The 23809-nt window shown below is 39.1% G+C and overlaps 1 protein-coding gene across 10 annotated transcripts in view; it reads right to left on the bottom strand.

Moving 5' to 3' along the window:
* ARL15 (ARF like GTPase 15) overlaps positions 1-23809 on the bottom strand; it is a 426632-nt gene that overhangs the window by 379162 nt on the left and 23661 nt on the right. For 4 of the 10 annotated variants that reach the window (XM_011543500.3, XM_047417335.1, XM_047417336.1 and 1 more), the window contains one exon: positions 19168-19224. The exons of 5 other annotated variants lie outside the window; for them this stretch is intronic. In XM_011543500.3, the coding sequence (XP_011541802.1) occupies positions 19168-19224 (57 nt within the window). Of the gene's footprint in view, positions 1-19167; positions 19225-22237; positions 22256-23809 lie in introns of all 10 variants that reach the window. One more of the 10 variants, XM_017009598.2, reaches the window with a different exon arrangement.

The raw sequence follows: 23809 nt of genomic DNA on the forward strand, positions 1-23809 counted from the left end.
TTAGAGTTTTTTTCTTTATGGCACAATATTTTAGTTTTTTTTTTAAAGTATAATCACAGGCTGAAGTGAATTATGCATTTATAAAAACTAGAAATGCAAAAAAGGAATTCTAATATCATTAGTGGTTTTGTAATAACACAACTGTAATTAATAATTTGCATCTTGAACCTGTGCAGATAAAGCTGAAGTCAAATGGCAGTTCGAATCTCCCAGTTAACCACTGTCACTGTTAACAAATAAAAAAAGATTAGATAAAAGTAAGACACAATGAAGCAACTTTTGTTTAAAGATTTTTCTACCCCTACAGTGCAGAGAGAAAAACAAAAGGGAATCACATAATTTAAAAAGATAAGGGTGAAGGGGAAAGGGAGCATTTTAATCACAGAGTGTAAAATAATAAGGAAGATGCATGTATGTATGCTTCCCAGCCCATTATTGTCTATAACCCTATGGTTCCACGAAGAAAGGAAACAGGAAACTGGAGCAAGCCATCTAATGAACCAATGAGGCCAAAAGGGTAAAACAGCAACCCTCTCCATTTGGATGACTTCCAAAATTGCATCCATCCATCTGAGAAATGATCATTGAATGCTTACTTTGAGTGAGGCAATATTCTGAGCAACAGGGATAGAGCAGTGAACCAAGCAGAGAGCAACCCCATCCATACAACCCCCATTTCTAATACTGCTTTTAGGCTGCAAAAATGTATTTCCAACATGGCACCTCCAACTCACACATCTAGTTGCAAGATCATCTTCTTTGCTCCCCAAATTACTCCTTCTATGTGTCCCCTGTCTCAGTTAAAAGCATTACCATCCACTCATTTCTTCTGACCACCAAATTGTTGTCATGTTAAACTCCAACCTCTCCATTTTTACCTCTACCAACTCCTTCAGTATATCACAGAATACCTGATTGCTGAATATCTACAAAGTTTCTTGACTCTGTCTCCACCTTTTCATTCCCTGTACCATTAGGGACCTAATCATCTTTTGCCTAGATTACTGCACAAGCCTCCTGAGGATTTTAGGTCTTCCCTCTGAAAGCTGCTCAATACATCCTCCATTTCACTTGATGAAAATCATATCCTTTCTCCTCCCTAAAAAACCCCCATATGAATCCTTGACTCCTCTCTTCATTCTTCCGCACATCCACTCCATGAGAAAATTCTATTGATTCAGTCTCCAAAATACATCCATATTCTGACCACTTGTCACCTCTCCCCTTATCACACTGTTCAAACCAAATTCATCTCTACAATGACTATAATACTTCACTGGCCTCCCAGCTTTAACATTGCCCTAGGTTAGCCTATTCTCAAAACAGCAGCGAGAGTGATCCTTTAAAAATGCAAGTTAGTCAATATTGTTCCCTACTCAAAACCCTATGAGGTACCCCCACAGTCACTAAGAGTAAAAGCCAAAGTCCTTAAAAAGGCCTGAAAGCCCTAGATGATCTGGCCTCTTATTTCCTAACCTCATCTCCTCTATTCTCTCAGTCACTCACCCTACTCTTTCTGCTTCAGCCATTGGCTCCTAAAAATTCCTCAAACACAGAATTGCTCCTGTCTTAGGACCTTTGCATAGGCTGTTCCTTCTGCCAGGAACATTCTTCCCTACATATCCACATGGCTAACTCCCTCACTCCTTCAAGACTTTTCTCAAATCTCACCTCCTCCATGAAGCCTACCTTGACCACCTATTTCATAATGCAACTTCCTCCTATATACTCACAACCCCTTTATCATGTGCTATTTTTTCCCCAAAGCAATTATCATCTAACATACAATATGTAGTTTACTTACCATCTTTATTGTTTACTGTGTCTCTCCCCATTAGAATGTAAACTCTACAAGGGGAGAGATTTTGTCTTTGTTCAGGGTTTTATGCCAACTGCCTCAAGTACCATGCCATAGTTAAATGTTCAACACTGACTGAATGAATGGACTGATCACCCTGGTTGCAGGATCTTTGCCCCAAGGTCATCTTTTTCAAGCACAGCTCATGACATCAACTCCCTGCTGTAATTTTTTTAAATAAAAGTATAAATCAGACTTCCCCTAAAAAAACCCAACTCTTTTTGCTGATCCCTTTCAACATTTTTGCTTTAATATCACTTTTAATGTTCTTAGTACAATTGTTATATTTTACAAAATACTCTTTCTGGAATGTAGTGGTTGTTTGGCCTTCTGTATGACATTTTAACTCACCTAGTTTCCTTTAGAAAGTTACTGACTTTAAAAGAAAATCTTTTTGAGCACGAGTGCTGCCACTTTAAAGACTACTTACAGGACATTTTAGGGGACATAAAAACAATCCTAAATAATCACAAATATTAAAGTAAGAGCATGGTACACTTGCAAAAATTCTGCCAGAGATAAGGTTCAGCCGATGGTAACATCCATGAGCTGTATTCAGGCACTTTGCAATTGAATGTATCATAGTGATTCTTTTTAAATTGAAGAGGGACTCCGAATTATTTCAGATTTTGCACTTTTATGGTACTTTCTATCATGCCCTTTCAAATTTATATAAAAAATGTTAACTATTGTAGCTAAGTTTGCCAAGAAAATTTCAGTGAAACAAAAGGTTTTTAGACTCAGATTTTCTGTTTATGTTTACAAGCACATCTATTCCATATATTTAGAAATACTTGTATTTAGACAGACATACTTAAAGAAAGCCCCTTAACACATTTTATAAAACACTACAAACTGACTTTGTGTATGAGTTTTAGAATGATGGCTGACACTTACGAAGCAGTTACTATATATCAGGTTCCATATTAAGCCTCGTTTAACCTCCACCACAACCCTGTGAGGTTGGAACTATTACTATTCGTATTTACAGATGAGAAGGCAGGGGTTCAGAGATGTTAAGTGACTTGCCCAAAGTCACAGAACTACTAAATATCCAGTTTTTTATTTCAGATCCCTGTTCTAAACGGCTCCATGTCAGGCTTACTGCTTTGCCTCACACTTAAAATGTATGAAAGAGAAACGACTAACTTCATTAACTGCCAGTTGCAGCAACATCTTTTGAGCCTAAGCACCTTCACTAGTCCCAGAGTCATAGCAGCCATATTTGAACAACAGAATCCCACCTCAACTGACTAGAACAGAGTTAGGAAAATCCACCTCCTCGGGAATTCAGAGTTGGAAATGAGAGCAGACCTCTCCCCGTGGCTGTACATAATAGATGACCTTGGGACCAGCTTCTGCCTGCTTTGTAGGCAAAGTAGCAGAAAATGTCAGTTTGTTGAGAAAGAAGCAGATGTGTAGAGAAAAATCACAAAGTAGAGACAAAAATCCCAGAGTCACTAAGACCTCCTGGGTTTGGTTCCAAGTCTTCCTGAGTATGGGTATGTCCCTGCTTTTGGATTTCATGAGAAATCCCAGAAACCGGAAAAATCTATTATCTCTCTGTATTTAGTGGTTTAAGTGGGTTCCTGTTACTTCAACTAAAAGTTTGGTTATTCAATACTCAGATCTGGGTTTATACATGGGGCTGAAAACCAAATAATCTTCACTGAGCAAAAAGAAAACAGAACATAGAAGGATTTGAAATGCTGGCATTTAGAAATATAGTCAATTAATCTAAAGAACAAAGTATCTTTAAAATAAAATTGTGATAGTCTCAAGACATCAGGAAAATGGTTTTATCTTGGAGAGTTAGAAGATGAAATGAACTTACAGGAAAACCATGTGAGATACTAAAACACAATGAGCAGCAGCAATAGAAGATGACCCAAAAAAAGCAAGCTTCTTGCCATCACATTACTAACAATAAAATGCACACACACGTGAGAAGCAAAAAATAATTGGCTCTATTTTCAGGCAGACAAAAAGTAATTTCCATATATTCCCTGTATCTGTGTTCAAAGATTTTAGGCAGCAGAATCATCTGGATATTTATTAAATGGTGGATTCCTGGGTCTCAACACAGAGCTACAGAATCACTCCCTGGGGATGGAGCTGTGTTTTTGTTTTTGTTTGTTTGTTCGTTTTGAATTGGGGTCTCACTCTGTCACCCAGGCTGGAGGGCAGTGGCGGGATCTCAGCTCACTGCAACCTCTGCCTCTCAGATTCAAGCGATTCTCCTGCCTCAGCCTCCTGAGTAGCTGAGACTACAGGCATGTGCCACCACACCCAGCTAATTTTTTGTATTTTTAGTAGAGACGGGGTTTCACATTGTTAGCCAGGACGGTCTCGATCTCCCGACCTTGTGATCTGCCCACCTCAACCTCCCAAAGTGCTGGGATTACAGGCATGAGCCACCGCGCCTGGCCAGAGCTCTGTTTTAAAGCAATGATCCTCGAAATTGTTTGTTTCAGCATCCTCTGCATTAATATTCTGAAGCTATATACTTATACTCACTTATCCATTTTTAAGTTGACATCTAGTTTGATAAGTTGCATAAGGACATAATTTCCAACTTGTTATAAATATCCAGATTTATAAATAAAACTGTTAATCATTCCCTTACATTGATAAAAATCTCTCTAGGTATCACAGAGATTTGAAAAACATTACTTTTTTTAAAAAAAAAAGAACAAGCCTGGTGGTGACAAAATCTCTCAGCATTAGCTTGTCTGTAAAGAATTTTATTTCTCCTTCACTTATGAAGCTTAGTTTGGCTGGATATGAAATTCTGGGTTGAAAATTCTTTTCTTTAAGAATGTTGAATATTGGCCCCCACTCTCTTCTCGCTTGTAGAGTTTCTGCCGAGAGATCCGCTGTTAGTCTGATGGGCTTCCCTTTGTGGGTAACCCGACCTTTCTCTCTGGCTGCCCTTAACATTTTTTCCTTCATTTCAACTTTGGTGAATCTGACAATTATGTGTCTTGGAGTTGCTCTTCTCGAGGAGTATCTTTGTGGCGTTCTCTGTATTTCCTGAATCTGAATGTTGGCCTGCCTTGCTAGATTGGGGAAGTTCTCCTGGATAATATCCTGCAGAGTGTTTTCCAATTTGGTTCCATTCTCCCCGTCACTTTCAGGTACACCAATCAGACGTAGATTTGGTCTTTTCACATAGTCCCATATTTCTCGGAGGCTTTGTTCGTTTCTTTTTATTCTTTTTTCTCTAAACTTCCTTCTCGCTTCATTTCATTCATTTCATCTTCCATCACTGATACCCTTTCTTCCAGTTGATCGCATCGGCTCCTGAGGCTTCTGCATTCTTCACGTAGTTCTCGAGCCTTGGCTTTCAGCTCCATCAGCTCCTTTAAGCACTTCTCTGTATTGGTTATTCTAATTATACATTCGTCTAAATTTTTTTCAAAGTTTTCAACTTCTTTGCCTTTGGTTTGAATTTCCACCTGTAGCTCGGAGTAGTTTGATCGTCTGAAGCCTTCTTCTCTCAACTTGTCAAAGTCATTCTCCGTCCAGCTTTGTTCCATTGCTGGTGAGGAATTGCGTTCCTTTGGAGGAGGAGAGGCGCTCTGCTTTTTAGAGTTTCCAGTTTTTCTGCTCTGTTTTTTCCCCATCTTTGTGGTTTCATCTACTTTTGGTCTTTGATGATGGTGATGTACAGATGGGTTTCATTGTGGAAGTCAGTGTGGTGATTCCTCAGGGATCTAGAACTAGAAATACCATTTGACCCAGCCATCCCATTACTGGGTATATACCCAAAGGACTATAAATCATGCTGCTATAAAGACACATGCACACATATGTTTATGGCAGCACTATTCACAATAGCAAAGACTTGGAACCAACCCAAATGTCCAACGATGATATATTGGATTAAGAAAATGTGGCACATATATACCATGGAATACTACGCAGCCATAAAAAATGATGAGTTCATGTCCTTTCTAGGGACATGGATGAAATTGGAAATCATCATTCTCAGTAAACTATCGCAAGAACAAAAAACCAAACACCGCATATTCTCACTCATAGGTGGGAATTGAACAATGAGAACACATGGACACAGGAAGGGGAACATCACACTCTGGGAACTGTTGTGGGGTAGGGGTGGGGGGTAGGGATAGCTTTAGGAGATATACCTAATGCTAAATGACGAGTTAATGGGTGCAGCACACCAGCATGGCACATGTATACATATGTAAATAACCTGCACATTGTGCACATGTACCCTAAAACTTAAAGTATAATAAGAATAAAATAAAATAAAATAAAATAAAAGAACAAGCTCCTTTTCAGTCATATATCCTCTTTTAATTTTTTCTTGAATTCATACATCTTTTCCATATCCCCAGCAGAACTTCAATAACATATTTTTATGCTTGTAAATCTTTTACTGATCACTCTATCATGCTCCCCACAAATAAACTGTGTACATAATTGCAGTCTCACATTTTACATTTCCTGTGGCCGTAAGTTTTCAATATTTTTAAATTTTCTCTTATGGACTAAGTTCCTAAAATTATTATTGGTCCACAATTGATCAAAATTAATATATAATAAATGTTGACAAATCCATAATGTATAAAAAGTAAAACTTTTCAGTAATACATCTCTTAATGAGATGGATAGGTTATATTTTTATTTACACAACATAGAGGATTTTTTAATTTTTTTATTTTTAATTTTTTTTGAGACGGTGTCTCGCACTGTCGCCTGGGCTGGAGTGCGGTGGCGCGATCTCGGCCCACTGCAACCTCCACCTCCCAGGTTCAAGCGATTCGCCTGCCTCAGCCTCCTGATTAGCTGGGATTACAGATGCCTGCCACCACACCCAGCTAATTTTTTGTATTTTTAATAGAGACAGGGTGTCACTATGTTGGCCAGGCTGGTCTCCAACGCCTGACCTCCTGATCCACCTGCCTCGGTCTCCCAAAGTGCTGAGATTACAGGCGTGAGCCACCACGCCCGGCCTGAGGATTATTATTTATCACTAGGATGAGATACAGTTCAGCATCAGTTCTATTCCTATTTTTCACATTTTTTAATGTAGATATAAAATATACGAAACCTGCTCTCATAAATAAAATAGGAATAGAAGTTTAGCGACTGTAAAATCATTCAATTCTTTGGACTTCTTCTTAATTATGTAACAAAAAATTGCACATGAATTATCAATATTTTTAAAGATCAGCTGACAATTTGAGTATATTTTGTTTTATTGAAAGCAAAGAACTGAAAATGGTTTGTTATCTGGTAATATTAGAGTCATTCACTTTCTCAACACTAACATCATATTTTGAGTTTTTCCTTTGGCTTGTGCCCTGGAGGTTTTTATTTCCAAGGCCAATGCACCAAGATTTAGGATGAGAGAGTAGCGCCTTTCTCTCCTAACTGAAAATAGAGTAGTCGTGAAAGGGGAAGCGATAAAGGAGAATCCACACAAATGAACAATGATTTTCTTAGACTCCTATCACTGCTACCTACCATAACTTAGAATGCCCACGTATCCCCAGGGGCATGTGTATCCTGGTTTCGACACACTAATTGGAGCTCTGTTCATTCATGCATTCATTCCACAAACATGTATTAAGCACTTGCAACATGCCAGACACTTATCTAGGCACTGGAGATACAGCAATGAACAAAACAAGAAATCCCCTGCCCTCATGGCCCTTCTAAAGGAAGCACACAATCTGTTAGGTCTGTGTTGGGTGCTACGGCCACCTGCCTGAGCCTCCTGTGGCCTGCTCTTCTCTCTACTCTAAAGAACTGTATTCCCACTGTAATAATTTGAAATGCCAACTAGACTGGATTAAGGAATATCTAGAAACCTGTAAGGCATTGTTTTGGAATGTGTCTGGGATGATGTTTCCAGAGGAGATTGGCATGTGAGTCTGAGCGGACTAGGTGGGGAAGATCCACCCTCAATGTGGGCAGGCACCATCCAGTCTGGTGGATGGTGGTGAAGACAGTAAAGAAACAGGAAAAAGGTGAATGTGTCATTCTATCTCCAGGATCTGGAATACACTCATCCCCTGCCTTGGACAACAGAACTCCAGGGTCCCAGGCCTTTGGACTCCAAGGTTTACATCAGTGGCTCCCCGGGTTGCCTGGCCTTCAGCCTTGGACTGAAAGTTACAACATTGGCTTTCCTGGTTCTGAGGCCTTGGGGACTTGAACTGAGCCACACTACCAGCATCCCATGGTCTCCAGCTTGCAGATGGCCTGTTGTGGAACTTCTCAGACTCTATAATCACATAAGCTAATTCCCCTAATAAATCCCCTCTTATAGATCTAAACAGTTGTACAGTTGTCCCTCAGTATCCAAGGGGAATTGGTTCCAGGACCTCCTTCAGGTATCAAAATCCACAGATTCTCAAATCTAGATATAAAATGGTATCGTATTTGCATATAACCTATGCACATCCTCCTACATACTTTAAATCATCTCTAGATAACTTAGAGTATCTGATACAATACAAATGCTATGTAAATAGTTACATTGTTTGGGAAATACTGTTTAGGGAATGACAAGGAAAAATATCTATACATGTTGGGTACGAATGCAAATTTGTTTTCAAATATTTTCAATGGTGGTTAGTTGAATTCATGGATATGGAATCTACTGACCATATATATATCCTTTTTATTCTCTCTGGAGAACTCTAATATGCTAACTTAGTCAACAGAGAGCCAGGAAGTACTTACTACGTGCCAGAACATTAGCTAAACCCAAAAGAATAGAGAGGATGCAGACTGGTCCTCCACAGTATACAATAAGCATAAAACCTCTCATTCAGATTCACCTTATATAATACATTAAGTCACTGTTTAAATAAGTTTATGTTCTACAAAGCAAAGACCAAATCATCACCAGGGTCAAGCAGATTCTCCTCTGCCTATGTAATATTAATCTATTGGCTGTGCTTAACATTTATTTATTTATTTATTTATTTATTTATTTATTTATTTAAATTGGTTTTTTTAAGACACAGGGCCTTTCTCTGTTGCTCCGGCTGGAATGCAGTGGTGTAATCATAACTTGGTGCAGCCTCAAACTCCTGGGCTCAAGAGATCCTTCTGTCTCAGCTTCCTGAATAGCTAGGCCTATAGGTGTGTGCCACCACTCCTGGCTTTTTTTTTTTTTTTTTTTTTTTTTTTGAAGACTAGGTTTTGTTATGTTCCCCAGGCTGGTCTCAAACTCCTGGCCTTAAAGCGATCCTCCTGCCTTGGCTTCCCAAAGTTCTGAGATTACAAGCAGGAGCCAGCATGTCCAACCTTACAGTTTGAAACATAATTTTGTTCCCAAACTACGGATATGAGTAAACCACATCCTTGGCAGTGACTGCGTTCTAGGATAATTTTTAATCATTGACAAAACAAATTATTCTTCCTATCAAGAAAAAAGTACTAGTTCTGAGGATAAAACACTACATGTTTGTCAAGAAAACAAAGTCGACCATCCATGAAAAGAAAGTGCACAAAAATGTACAATTCCTAGGGTGGAAATTTCCATCAATCAGATATACTCTTGGTGAAAATCAAGGGTCACCATGTCACTTAAGTTGCAAAATTCAAAGTATTTTAAGTTCCTAAGTTAAATAACCCCAAATGTTTCTTATCAAGAAAAAAAGCCTCTCCACCTAAACACATAGCTACAATTTATAATTACCAAAAGAAACCTCACAATGGCCCTTTGTAAAGGATGATCCTCATGTAGCTAAACAATTTCCCACTCCCTCTTCTGTGGTGCCTTTTAAAATTATCATTATAACATCTACAGTCAGAAGGTAAAAATTGTTTTTTCCTATATGAAGTTAATATAGAATACATAATTAGAACTTATTTTCCACTTGTGGTAATTAATATGCTTGCAATTATAGCCACTATTCCATACCATTAATCCCTAAAAGTAAAGGCAGCTAGCAGAGTAAGGAGACCTCTGAGACACAGAAGAAAGCTGGCTGGACCACATGAAAGTGGAACTCTTAAATCTGCCTTCAAAAGTGCAACAGTCTAGCCACAAGAACTACCTAGTATAGAATTAACATTCTAATCCAAATGAGAGGAAAATTCTAAGGTTCCATCTTGATCAAAATATTATGATTATAAAAACATTCCAAAGTTCAGCAAACCGTACTAAACTTACATAGTCCCATATCTACCTCTAAATATGCTATAAAGATACAATAAAAAATAGATTGTGTAGTGAAAAATAAGAGATATAGTAGGCTCTAAATAGGGTACAGTCCATGAATTTGGGGTAAAGCCAGAAATTACCAGCCTCTGAAATTTAGGTTAATTATGAACTTAAAAAAGCAACACCAATGATGGGATAAACTGGCACCCTGTGCTCCTGCTGAGATGCACTGAGAAGGATACAGTGTCACCTATGGAATATTCCTGTCCAAAATGTTTAATCTTAACCTAATCACGAAGAAACAATTAGACAAATCTAAACTGAAAGAAATTCTGCAAAATAACTGGCCTGGCCTCTTCAAAAATGTCAAGGACTAAAAGACAAAAAAAAGTTGAGAAATTATTCCAGATTAAATTCAATAAATTCATATTGAATACCTACTGTCTGGATAACGGCAGTGTGTGGTGGCTAAGAATGTATCAAATTCTGCCTCAAAATCCTATCTCTACCAGATGGAAAAGACATCTAACCATGCCATGTCCTGGTCTCCTCTCAGTAAAATGAGGATAGTAATATTACAGTACCTTCTTCAAAAGATTATACCGAGTTCAATGAGTTCATCTATAAAAGCCTTAGCACAGACACTGCTCAACACTTAATAAGTGCTCGGTAAATGTCAGTGGTGATCATGACCATGATGATGGTGAAGAGCCACCAGATGCTGGGGGAGGGGAACAGAGAGACTAACATCGTCACGTCCTCACTGTGCTTACAGTGAGATGTGAGTTACAGAAAAATGACCAGGCAATTCTAAGATAGTGCAATAGATGCACTTTGGCTGATGAAAGGCTCTAGAGTTCAAAGGAGGCCGTTAGGTCTTTCTAAGCAAGGAATGCTGGCATTGGAATCCAGGTAATGACAGAGAGGTGAGGCAACTAGGGTAGAAGAGATCAAACTTGAGGACTGCTAGGATCGTGAGGCAGGGGAGTGCTGTAGATTGAGTCTAGTTCCTGGCTTGGCAGCTGAACGGGCTGTGGTGCCAGTCACTGAGAAAAAGGAGCCCAGGGCATGAGCAGGTTTAGGGGCAGCAAGAGAGTCGGCTGACGCTGGGTCAGACTCAACCAGAAGGGCCACCCAAGGGGACTTGTGCTGGACTCACAAAGGCATGTGGCAGAGAAGTCCTGATCTTGAGAGAAAAGGATACATTCTGCATTCCCCAGAATAAAACACCTAAAGCAAACAGATTTTATCTTGTTCTTGCCTGGACTCTAATTTCAAAACATGATAAAGAAAAATACAGCAGTCCTATCAATCTTATGTATTTCACAGTGTAACTATTTTACTGTAAAAATAGAAATTAGGAGGGACATTTGTGGCTCTCAATAGGTTCATTAAACCTAAAATTGTAAATTCCCCTGCCAGAAAGGTGGTATGCTAGCCAGATGTTCTCACTCTAATTGAGAACATTATTTTGCTTACTAAAGGTAAGAAAGAAAACATTTAGGTCAGGCTCGGCGGCTCATGCCTGTAATCCCAGCACTTTGGGAGACTGAGGCGGGTGGATCATGAGGTCAGGAGTTCAAGACCAGCCTGACCAACATGGTGAAACCCCGACTCTGCTAAAAATACAAAAATACAGGCATGGTGGCACACACCTGTAATCCCAGCTACTCAGGAGGCTGAGGCAAGAGAACTGCTTGAACCCGGGAGGCAGGGGTTGCAGTGAGCCCAGATTGCGCCACTACACTCCAGTCTGGATGACAGAGCAAGATTCTGTCTCAAAAAAAACCTTTATAAACTCTCATTTCCTAGGTTATAAAACACATAACCCCTCACTTCTACCCACAGAAATAAAACTGCCAGGAACAACTCTGTGTGCTTATGTGCCTATGGGCAAAAATACATAAACTATATTGATATCATAAAGAAAACACTAGATTCAATCTTGGCCCATAGAGTCTCAATTATCAATCCAATCAGAAGCTGAAGCTGGATTTGCCACACAACACAAAACCAGTCTTGCTGCCACACTATGTGCTCATTCAGTGTGTGCCTGACAATGGCTACGGGCAACACTGATTCTCTGCCTACACACTGTCTTTGAGGTACACTGCACCGTCTGTTGGCTTAATCTCAGATCAAACTGCCTTAGCTCATGTACTTGTGAAAAAGATGACTGATTGTCCCCAATATCCATTCTATATGCCCCCTTAGGAGTAGAACCCCTAGAGTCTTGGAGGCTTACTAGAGTTCACCTTTCCAAGCTTCTTTGGTAGTCAGGTATCATCACGTACCTTAAGTTCTGGCAACTGGGATGTGAGGGCAAGTGATGTCTGTGATTTCCAGATCATGCCCCCAGAAGGAAACTACTTGGCCTCCACTTTCCCTTTCCCACAGAATAAACAAACATACGGGAGTGGTGAACCTCCTGCAGCCTGCACATGAGCAGAAGCACTGAGGCAATGGAAGAACAACAAGCTAGAAAGAGCCTGAGCGCCTGACTCATGAAGCAAAGAGCTAGATTCCAAAGTGACTACTGGCTTAAATTTAAAATTTTATATTATTATTATTTTATTTATTTTTTTTTTTGAGACACAGTCTCACTCTGTCACCCAGACTGGAGTGCAGGGGTGCAATCTCGGCTTACTGCAAGCTCTGCCTCCCCGGTTCACGCTATTCTCCTGCCTCAGCCTCCCGAGTAGCTGGGACTACAGGCACCCGCCACCACGCCTGGCTAATTTTTTTTTTTTTTTTGTATTTTTGTAGAGATGGGGTTTCACCATGTTAGCCAGGATGGTCTCGATCTCCTGACCTCGTGATCCGCCCACCTCGGCCTCCCAAAGAGAGACAGATTCTTGCTATGTTGCCCAGGCTGGACTTGAACTCCTGGGCTCAGCCTCCTGAGTAGCTGAGACTACTGGCACACACCATCATGCCTGGCCAGCTTGGATTTTTATATGAGAAACTTATTCTGCTTAAGCTACTATTATTTTGGTCTTTATAAAAACAGCCAAGCCAACACCTTAATTCATTTCCACTCAAATCATTAAAATGTGTGATTATGCAGAATTTATGTAATTAAGGTGTGTCTCACTTTGTTTTAGAGTTTTGCATTCCTTTATAATGACTGCAGACATCTCAGCATCCCACACAGTTGACAATAAATGCTTATGTTGGAATCTCCAAGGGGCATAATAAACAGGTACAGTTAATACCACTCTTCTCCAAATGGTCATATATTAAATCTGCTCTTTAATTTGTTGCTAGAACCAGTATTTGCAGAGTGCAAGACTTCCGATCTATCTGACAAATTTTTAACCTTGGTTTTATATATGATGACAACATTCTACACCCAGCATTAGGACTAGGCTACACTGGTTTTCTTTTTTCTCTAGAAGAGGACAGATTGTACTAAGGCCTAAGATCGTACTAAGGTGCTTATGGTAGGCAGAATAATGTCTCCCATAGAGTCAATTACCATCACAACCCAACACGTTCATTTCCTAATCCCAGGAAACTGTGAATATGTTATCTTACATGGCAAAAGGAACTTTGCAGATATGATTAAGGATCATGAGATGGGGAGATTCTTCTGGATTATTCATGTAGGCCCAACTTCATCACAAGCGTCCTTATAAAGAGGGAGACATGAGTGTCAGAGTCATAGAGGAGATGTGATAATGGAAGCAAAAGCTAGAAGTATGCCATTGCCAGAAGGGGCCATGAGCTGAGGAATACAGATAGCTGCTAGAAGCACAAAGGGGCAAAAAATGGATTCCTACCCAGAACGTCCAGAAAGAACACAGCTCTGCCAACACCTTGATTTTAGGCCAGTGAAACCCACTTCAGGCTTCTGACCTCCAGAATTACAAGAGAATCTATGTTGTTTTAAGCCACAAAGTTTGTGATAATTTGTTACAGCATCCATAGGAAATACAGTGTCCTTACATGTAGCACTGTATATTGTAATAACCCAATTGAATTAGGGTAGGATTTGTCCAGACCTAAAGAGCTAAATGAAAATAAGCAATTTTAATAATATATAATCTTATTAATAATATTGTTACTAATATTATCAGTAGTAATACCAATAGTAACATACAATTGTTTTGCCTTTTTACTGTAATCACAAAGGTAGCTCTCCCTGCCTCCCTCCCCCCGCAAAAAAGAAAAAGAAGTCACAGAAATTGAATATAAGTAGGTACAAGCAAATCTTGTAACTAGATAAAAGGATGATTTCTACCCACTAGCAAATGACTCTTCATCTCAAGATGAAATTGAATGCCATTTTTACTGCTATTGTTTTGAAGGATGAATGCTTTCTCTGCTAGTAAAACGCGTTCAATAATTTCTGCAGGCCGGGCATGGTGGCTCATGCCTGTAATCCCAGCACTTTGGGAGGCCGAGGCGGGCGGATCACGAGGTCAGGAGATTGAGACCATCCTAGCTAACATGGTGAAACCACGTCTCTACTAAAAATACAAAAAAATTAGCCGGGCGTGGTGGCGGGCGCCTGTAGTCCCAGCTACTCGGGAGGCTGAGGCAGGAGAATGGCGTGAACCCGGGAGGCAGAGCTTGCAGTGAGCCGAGATCGTGCCACTGCACTCCAGGCTGGGTGACAGAGTGAGACTTCGTCTCAAAAAAAAAAAGAGAAAAGAATAATTTCTGCAAAGGCCAAAGAAGAATTTAAAGAGTTTTTAAAGCTCTTCTTGATAACCAAAATCTGTAACCATGCAGGACATTCCCCTGGTATTATTTAGTTCAAATCTCCATCACTTGTTTCAGTTTTACGCAGCTGTTGGGTACAGAAAACCAAACAGTCACCCCTGTGGCTTCCGTATGCTTCAAACAGTACCATTCCTGGAGAAGGGCAAGATTCACTGGCCCTAGCTTCATTCATCTGGGCCGTTCAATGTTGGCCAAAAGGGTCCACAACCCACAGGAAGGTCACTAGAAGCTAAAATTATCACTGCTCCCTTAACCTGCTTCTTGTCAGCACCAGCTAATTGCCCACCATTGTGCTTCTGGCTCCATGATGGTGTTATTATAGTTCCCAACGCAGGGAAGTCTCAGCACAACACCTTTGGAAAATGCTTACCCTGACATTCCTAAGAGCATTCCAAAGCAATGCCCTTGTGTGCCTCTCTGGCCTGGAGCTCAACCATGCCTGATGGTAGAAGGTTCACTTCAAGATCACATTCTTAAGCATGGCCTGTTTTCACTGCCAGGATTTCATAAAATCATAGAACCACAATTGTACTATAAACTCTTGGCCTAAATTTACGTCCCCTCCTTCCTCCTGAACAGAACCAAATGAATGTTGCTTAAGATCCAAAACAGATCCATATAACAGGACTCCTTTTGTTTCAGAAACTAAATTACTTCTTTGTGATACATCCCTACATTACATTAGAATAACACTATCTCCTGTGCTGTACTCATAGGAAGTGGAGTTATCTCCTTGGACCAGATGCTTGGTTTTAAAGATTGTTTTGTTTGTTTGTTTGTTTTTTATCTGCTTCCCTCTGTCTCAATTTGTTCTGGGCTTTGGAAGCCTTCATATCTCCACCACTGATAATGTCTAAGTTTTTCTACCTATACCTTAAGTTTCCTGCCACATCTTCCTGAGTTAAGGCCCTTTAAATAAGCATCACTGCTTTTCAGGGTCTGGAGAAAGGTCTGTCTACTCCAAACCTCAGTGGGAAAGGTGGACGGCATGCACTGGATACCCTTTGTTGTCTCTGAGTAATGATCTTTATTAAACCTTTTAATGGAGGCATACATTTACCTGTATATCACACACTTAACCTAGGAAGCTTTCTGTCCTATATATGTTCCAATTTGGTCTTGCTCACTTCAGATATGGATTCCTAATATGTAAAATATAAGGCTTTTTGCTCCTTAACTTCTAAGTATTTTAACTCACTGCTATTTGGCAGTAACATTAAAAGCACCAAAAAAAACAACTCAGCTCAACAATCTAACACTATTTCTCATCCCAAAAGCTAACCCATAATCTTTTTAGGTTTCCTCTTCTACTTTTTGTTTTACTCATAACTCAGCATTTCTTTGCAACAGGAGCTAATAAGAGTTTGTTTTTGTTTTTTTTTTTCTGGTTTATGTTATCTGCAATTTACAAGAATTTTTTTTTTCTCCTCCCTGTGTTAATCTGCCAAAACAAAATACCTTAGACTGGGTGGCTTAAACAACAGAAATTTATTTTCTCACAGGTCTAGAGCCTGGAAGTCCCAGATCAGGGTGCCGGCATGGTCAGTTTCTGTTGAGGGATCTCTTCCTGGCTTAAAGATGTCCACCTTCTTATGTCCTCACATGGCAGACAGAGAGAGAGAGAAAGCAAGCCCTTCGGTGTCTCTTCTTATAAGAGTGCTAATCCCATCAGGAGGGCCCCACCCTCATGACCTCATCTAAACCTAATTATCTCCCAAAGGCCCCATCCCCAAACATCATCACATTCGGAGTCAGGGCTTCAACACATGAGTTTTGTGTGGGACACAATTAAGATCATCACACTCTCTCCTTTTAGGGCCGATTTTTATCTGCCTTGGAATGAATCCATGACCAGCCTTTCTTCATTAAATAAGCAGGGACAGAGACTGAACACCTGTTAGGTCTCAGGCCCAGGCTCAGTGCTAGGTATTCAAAGAGGAATACATACAATTTCTGATATCAGCAGTTCCAATATTCCCAAGTTCTAGATGGAAATACCTTATTGTGCTGGCTTACTGCAGCAGCCATGGAAATATGCCAGTCAGAGCTCCCTTTCTGGAGAAGCACAACTAACTGCCGGCCTCTTGCTGCCACAGCTTCAGGTCTACCATGGCATTCGTGCAGAAATTGTGTTTCTACTGGGCTGCGAGCCAGCGCCCAAGTGTGCAGAGGTACTGGAATCACTGCTGTTGTTGCCCAGTGCGAAACTCCAGCAACAGGCAACTTTGCTTAGGGAAGCCCCATCCATCCAGCCAAGACTTCTCAGGAATACATGGCATTGTAAAATTCTTCCCCATCCCTCCTTCCTTCCCACTCTTCCTTCACAGATGTCAGACCTACAGCATGGTCTGAAGGCTCTCTCTACCTTTTGTGGTTTCCTCCCTCTTTCCACTTCATAGACATTCCCCAACTTGCATTCAAATCCCAGCTTGGCAACTGCTTCTCAGAGGATCTGGGAAAACAGACTCAGGAATTAACTTCACTTAAAATAACTAAAAAACATGTTTAGCTTTCAAGTAACCTGTTCATCTAACCGGGGACAAATACTCATCTGAGACAGCTAAAGCAAAAGGTGATAGAAGAAATAAAGAAAATCTGCTTTTTCTTACATTCAAATAAAGGCAAAACAGAAAATTATTCTCACTATAACTTAATATAATTGGGCATACAGCTATGGAGCATTTGCCAAGTACCAGACGTTGTGCAAGGTATTGTAAAGGCTATAAAGACAAACACAAGATAGACTCCCTGCCCTCAAGGAACTTACAAGCTGCACTCCTATCTTTTATTCAGAATTTTTACATCATTCATTTTAAACAAATTCCTTAAGCATTTTGTACACACATACATATGTTCTTCTGTACGAAGCAGATGAGTAAACAAGATTACTTCATGTAAATATTTTTAAGTCCTTACTTAGAAAATAATTTGGTCTTTAAAAGTAAGTATCACTATATTTCCATCTAGAGTCTCCAAATCCCCACCCTAGGCCTCTAAAGGGAAAATGTCAAGACATTTTATCACTTAATCTGATTAGAAAAGTCCTTCATGCTCATCTACATAGATACATCTCCAAAATCCCAAGTTAAGAAATGAGCTCAAGGCATTTGGGTCAACTGACACAGGCTGGTGGAAAAAAAAAAAAAACCTCAAACATCTTAAAATATTCATTTTTGTTGTTGTTGTATTGTGAAATATTTACATACAAAAAGTATATAAAGTAAATATGTAGTTTAAAGAATAACATAAAAAAACACTGTGCGCTCACCATTCAAGTTAAAACCCAGAATATTACTATAACTTTTTTTTGTTTTTGAGACCGAGTTTCGCTCTTGTCACCCAAGCTGGAGTGCAGTGGTACGATCTCGGCTCACTGCAACCTCCACTTCCTGGGTTCAAGCGATTCTCCTGCCTCAGCCTCCCAAGTAGCTGGGATTACAGGCGCCCGCCACCACGCCCAGCTAATTCTTGTATTTTTGGTAGAGACAGGGTTTCACCACATTGGCCAGGCTGGTCTCAAACTCCTGACCTCAGGTGATCTGCCTTAAGTGCTGGGATTACAGGCGTGAGCCACCAGGCCTGGCCTACTATAACTTTTAAAGCACTTTTTCTTCCCTCCACTGCTTTAGAACAGTTTCTCAACCTCACGCTATTGACATTTTGGGCAGATAATTCTTAACCAGAACATTTTGGATGCTTAGCAATACCCCTGGCCTCAACCCATAAGATGACAGTAGCATATCACCACCATCACCACCAGTTGTGACAACCGGAAACGTCTCCAAACACTTCCATATATCCCCTGGAGGGCAAAGTCACCCCTTGTTGAGAACTACTGCCCTAGAGGTAATCACAATATGAATTTTTGCTTTTATTTATAGTATATCAACATATGTAACCCTAAAACAATGTATTGCTTAGTTCTACTGTATTTGAACTCCATAGAAATGAAATTGTACTCCATGTATTTTCCCGTGACTTGTTTCTTACATTCAACATTGTTTGTGAGATACATCCACGGTGTATTATTACAAGCTGTAATTCACACAATCATTTTTTCATATATTTTTGCTGCTGTATTGTAATCCGTTAAATTAAAACTCCATAATTGTTTAATCCAATCTATTATTGATGGACATTCGTATTGCATCTAACATTTTGCTTTTATGAATATTTCTACTAGGAACCTTTCCTACACAGGTCTTCTGGTAATTACACAACAATTTCTCTGAGCTATATACCTAGGAGTAGAATTACTCAGTCACAAGATATGCTCATGTTCAGCTTTATTGCTTTCTAAAGTGGTTGTATATATTTATACCCCCATCAGCAGTAGAGGATAATTGCCATCACTCCACATGATTTCCAACACTAGGGTCTTCACTTATTTTTCACAACATGTGGTACCACAAAAATATACATTGCTTACCGTGTAAATCCCAATTCTACAAACAGCAAATGAGATCTGGATGCATTCAGACATTCTCTATAAGATTAAAATAAGAATAAGAGAATAAGAAATGTTTGTACCAAAGAACTGTCTTCATTCCCCTTGCTCTTGTTTCCCTCTTTAAAGAAAATCTGCTGTATTCCAACATCTGTTTTATGAGGAAGTGGCTGAATTTCTTCCGTCTGTTTTCTAGGCTAGCTCAAAGACAGGGATAATAAAGTCTGGGGCATGTGGCTTTATCTTGGGACTGTAAGGCAGATACTTTGTCCTCTAATACAAGAGCATCATTTAAGGAGTGTAACTTATTGTAATGGTTTAATTTTACTTCTTTCAAATCTTGCTCTAATATCCCATTTTAATAATAAATATTTGGCTGCTATAAGTAGCTTTTTAAGCATTCTTTTTCAGTTCAATTCTTATTAGATCATAAAAGTCTATAATCCTTATAATGGATAGAAAAAAATCTCTATAAAAGGGAAATGCTCATAGTTAAATGCTGAAAGTTATGAATGGGCTAAATTTTGACAGAAGACTGAGATCCTTGGTCTCAGAATATCAATGGCAGTACTCAACTTAGAATTCACAACTTCTAACTCCCAAATCAAATTCAGATTCCTAAAACACATGCCCACTCACAAAACCATGCATACCAAACATGACTACTGGTTTCTTTTCCTTTCTTTAGCTGGAGAAATATTTTTAGCACATTAAATTAGCATGTAGTCAAAATAACCCTAACTTTATACAGTCGAACACTGTTATTATGGTTTATTGTTGACAAGTTAAAGCTTCTCCCTAAAGTTTATAATGTCATAAATCTCAGCAATCACGGTTTTATCCATTGTGGCAAGGAGGCAAAGACATAGGATCCCTGGCTTTCTGTGGTAGCCAAAAGGCTTCCAGAGATGCAGTCCTTGAGGAAGACCAAGAAGTCGCATCAGACCCATTCTGCCAAAGGCTCTTGCCCCTTTAGACAATATCCACAAGAAACTGAATTCTGTATGATTGAAGGAATTTGGTAAATAAAAGATTGGAAAGCCAAAGGCTATATGCGTGGACATTAAAAATAAAAATTACAGCAATGGAAAATCAAACTCTTAGGACACTCTGTTGAGTGAAGTACTTAAACTCAATCTAAACTTTCAAATATCAACGGTGCTATTGTTCAAAACAAATGGCTGATAATTTCATACTGGGGATCATGATCACATCTATTATTAAGTTATTACTATCATGACTGTAACATTATTGGGTTTATTTTGAATGAAATACACTACTGAAAACAAACCAGGGGCCATGCCCTGGCATCCTCAGAGCCCAAGACTAAGAACGCTCATTGCCTTGTCCAAGATCATTCTTCCCATCTACCTTTGGAAATTACCCCAAGTTGTACCTTTGTAACATAATAGTGAATGACTGAACAACTCTCTGAGTAAGCTGGAAAAGTTATCTTCCCCAACTGAAAGATAACTCTTATTTTATGCCACCTGGAATAAAAGATTTACCAGCCTTTCTTGGGGTTAAGTGTTGTCCTGTGACTAAGTTCTCCAAAATGAGATGTAACTGAAAGGTGCTTAAAGGGAACTGACTCTGAGAAGAGCCCTTTTTTGCTCTTCTGCCTTTCCTACTTCTTTTCCAGGCTGTAACGGAGACTTAATGTAGCTCCAGTGACAATCTTGGGTTGTGACGGCACAATGAGAACAGTGGACACATGAAGTAGACCATACAGATAAGAGAACCCAAAGATGCAAATGACAGCAGAGTTGCCATTCCCTCCTCTTCCAGACTTTGTACATGAAATAGAAATCAACCTGTAACTTTTTGTTTTCTGAGACAGGGTCTCACTTGGTTGCCCAGGCTGGAGTACAGTGGTGCAATCTGGAATTACTGTATCCTCAATATCCTGGGCTCAAGTGATCCTCCCACCTGAGCCTCCCAAGTAGCTGGGATTACAGGAGCATGCCACCATGCCCAGCAAATATTTTAATTTCTTTGTAGAGACAGGGTTTTGCCATGTTTCCCAGGCTGGTCTCGAACTCCTGAGCTCAAGTAATCCACCTCCCTCGGCCTCCCAAAATGCTGGGATTATAGGCATGAGCCATCACACCCAGCCCTCTAACTTGTTTAAAAATTGTTGTGTGTCTCTCACAGCCTAACCTAATCCTAACCAGTACAGAGCAACGTTTGTTTTTAAAAAGTAGGTATTCCCAGTGCCATATGAAAGGGCTCTAGCACCTATCATGAGAGAATTAACTCTTTTTATGAGCTTTATCTTTTAAGGAGGGAGAAATATTTACTCTTTAGTTACTAAAAACCTACTTTCCACTCCTTTTCATATTCTCAAAATGTACAAGTATTGTTGTTGGGATTGCTAAAATTATTACCCTGAAAACCCTCAATTTATTTTGTGTAACTTTTTTTCTGACTAACCATATTACCTCATTCTCTCTAATCTCTAATCCTTACAAATACTGCCTTATCCTTGAACATCCGACCTCAGGCCAGGTGGCATGTCTATTGCCCCAGCTTGTAAATTCATTCTAACAATAATATTCTCAACAATGGCCTCTTCCCTCTAATTACTAGGAGTCGGATACATATATTTAAAAACATAACCAAACTTCCTTTGATCACAGTATATGAACTGGTAATAAATTTTAAATAATTATATTATTTCCCTATATAGATGCTATATTTGCAAGAAACTATTTTAACTGTAAACCCATGAGACATAAGGCATAACTTGGAATGAAGGATAAGTAGTTAACTATTTCCAATAAAAGAATGAGTTTCTATCTCAGATAAACTCTGACCCGGTAGCCTCTACAGTAATATTCATAAATCTACATCTAGACTTCCCTGAGGAAGAACTAAAGAATATTATTTCAAAGATGAATCTCATCTTCTTTGCTGCCTCATCTAATAAAACAGCAAAAAAGATGTCAAAAACAAGACAGATTGGTTACAATCTGTTTAAGAGAGGTCTATAGAAAAAGAATGCCTAAGACAGAAAAAGAATACTAAATTTGAAATTAATGTGATTACTTACAGTTTATTGTTGTTTTCCCTAAGAAATTTCAAAGGTAAGCATGAAAATAAAGGAGAAAACAAAACTTCAACAAGATGGCAGAAAATAAACGTTATTTACTATACAGTCCAAAAAATGGTATCAAGGTATAATTTGAGTTCCATCAGAGGGCTAATAAACACAATATTCTTTTAGAGAGCTATTTTTTATACTTAACATAATTGACAGTTCTAATTTTGATGTCCTGTGCAATCCCTCATCCTGATACAAAGCAAGATGACAGTTATATTATCTTCTCCTCTATAATTCTGCTTGATGAAAATTAAAAAGTTAAAACAGCCAAGCCAGTTCTTCAGAGTCCTGCAAGCAGTATGTTAAAACTGGTAAAACAAGAAAGGGCATACGGGAGCAGTAAAACCCCTTCGAATGAGGCCCTAGCTTGGGTCCTCTATTTCCAAATAAGGTTAACAAAGATCCAGCATTTCCTCTCAATAGCAGACAAATGGGCTGAAGGCAAAGATGCAATAAATGGAGGATACAGAGAGTGACGACCCGTTCCAAGGTACATGGGAACGCTAAAGTGCCGCGTGGGTCGAATCCTTTCTGAGTAAAGGTCGCGTCTGTCAATTATGCTTTAGTCACTCCTCCAGAGTGGAAATAAACACTTGGGAATGCCACCTACTTCAGAACTGGCATCTCCTTCTGTTAGTATTGTCACTGAAAACATTAACAGTGCATTATTTCACAACTCCCTTAGTACACTTGAAAGTAATTTTCCCCAAATGGGAAAAAAGTAAGTTTTTTTTTTAACTAATTACAAAATAAAATTAGGATTTGTTTACAAAATGTAGAGCATTTTGCTCCTCAGCATATATTTTATAGCTTCTTCAAATTAGGAGAAAGGATGATGATAATCTACCCAAAGAGAAACATTTGCAATCTAAAGCAAAGCTAATAAAATTGGCCTCTCAACATTTTCTAAAAATGTTTTCAGTGGTAACAGTGCCAACAGCACGCCAAGAGCATCTATACTTCCAAGCAATCTACCAATGTCCATGGATGGAATATGTAAGAGTTCAATCAGTATTCAAAAAGGAATCAACCCTCTCCCTATTAAAAAATAACAATCATCATGATTAGCACATGATCTCTGTGAAATTCAATCACAAAGATTTGAAAAGCCATCTAGCAGAAATAACCTGAGATTTGAAAAGTCATCTAGCAAAAATAACCAAATGAAAGCATAAATCATCATATCAGAAGTTACAGATTTCATCCAGCAAAATGTTAGCCCATCTTCTATAAAACATCACTAAAAATCACACGTAATATCCAGGCAGATTTTGGCTGAAATGGTGAAGGTAAGAATAGTTCTCGTTCTGAAAATTCTGATTAAAAAGTATGGAGGGAGAGAAATCCCCTTCTAACTTAGAGTAAAATAATGAGTACCACTTATCTTGGAGGATTTATTCCTTCACTTTTGACCAGGCACTGGGAATTTTAAAACTCAGTTCAAAGAAAGAAAACGAAAAAAACATTTGCAGGGCTTTTTTTTTTTTTTTTTAATGAGACAGGGTCTTACTGTGTCACTCA

The sequence above is a fragment of the Homo sapiens genome, chromosome 5, assembly GCF_000001405.40.
Source record: "Homo sapiens chromosome 5, GRCh38.p14 Primary Assembly".
Taxonomy (NCBI): Eukaryota; Metazoa; Chordata; class Mammalia; order Primates; family Hominidae; genus Homo; species Homo sapiens.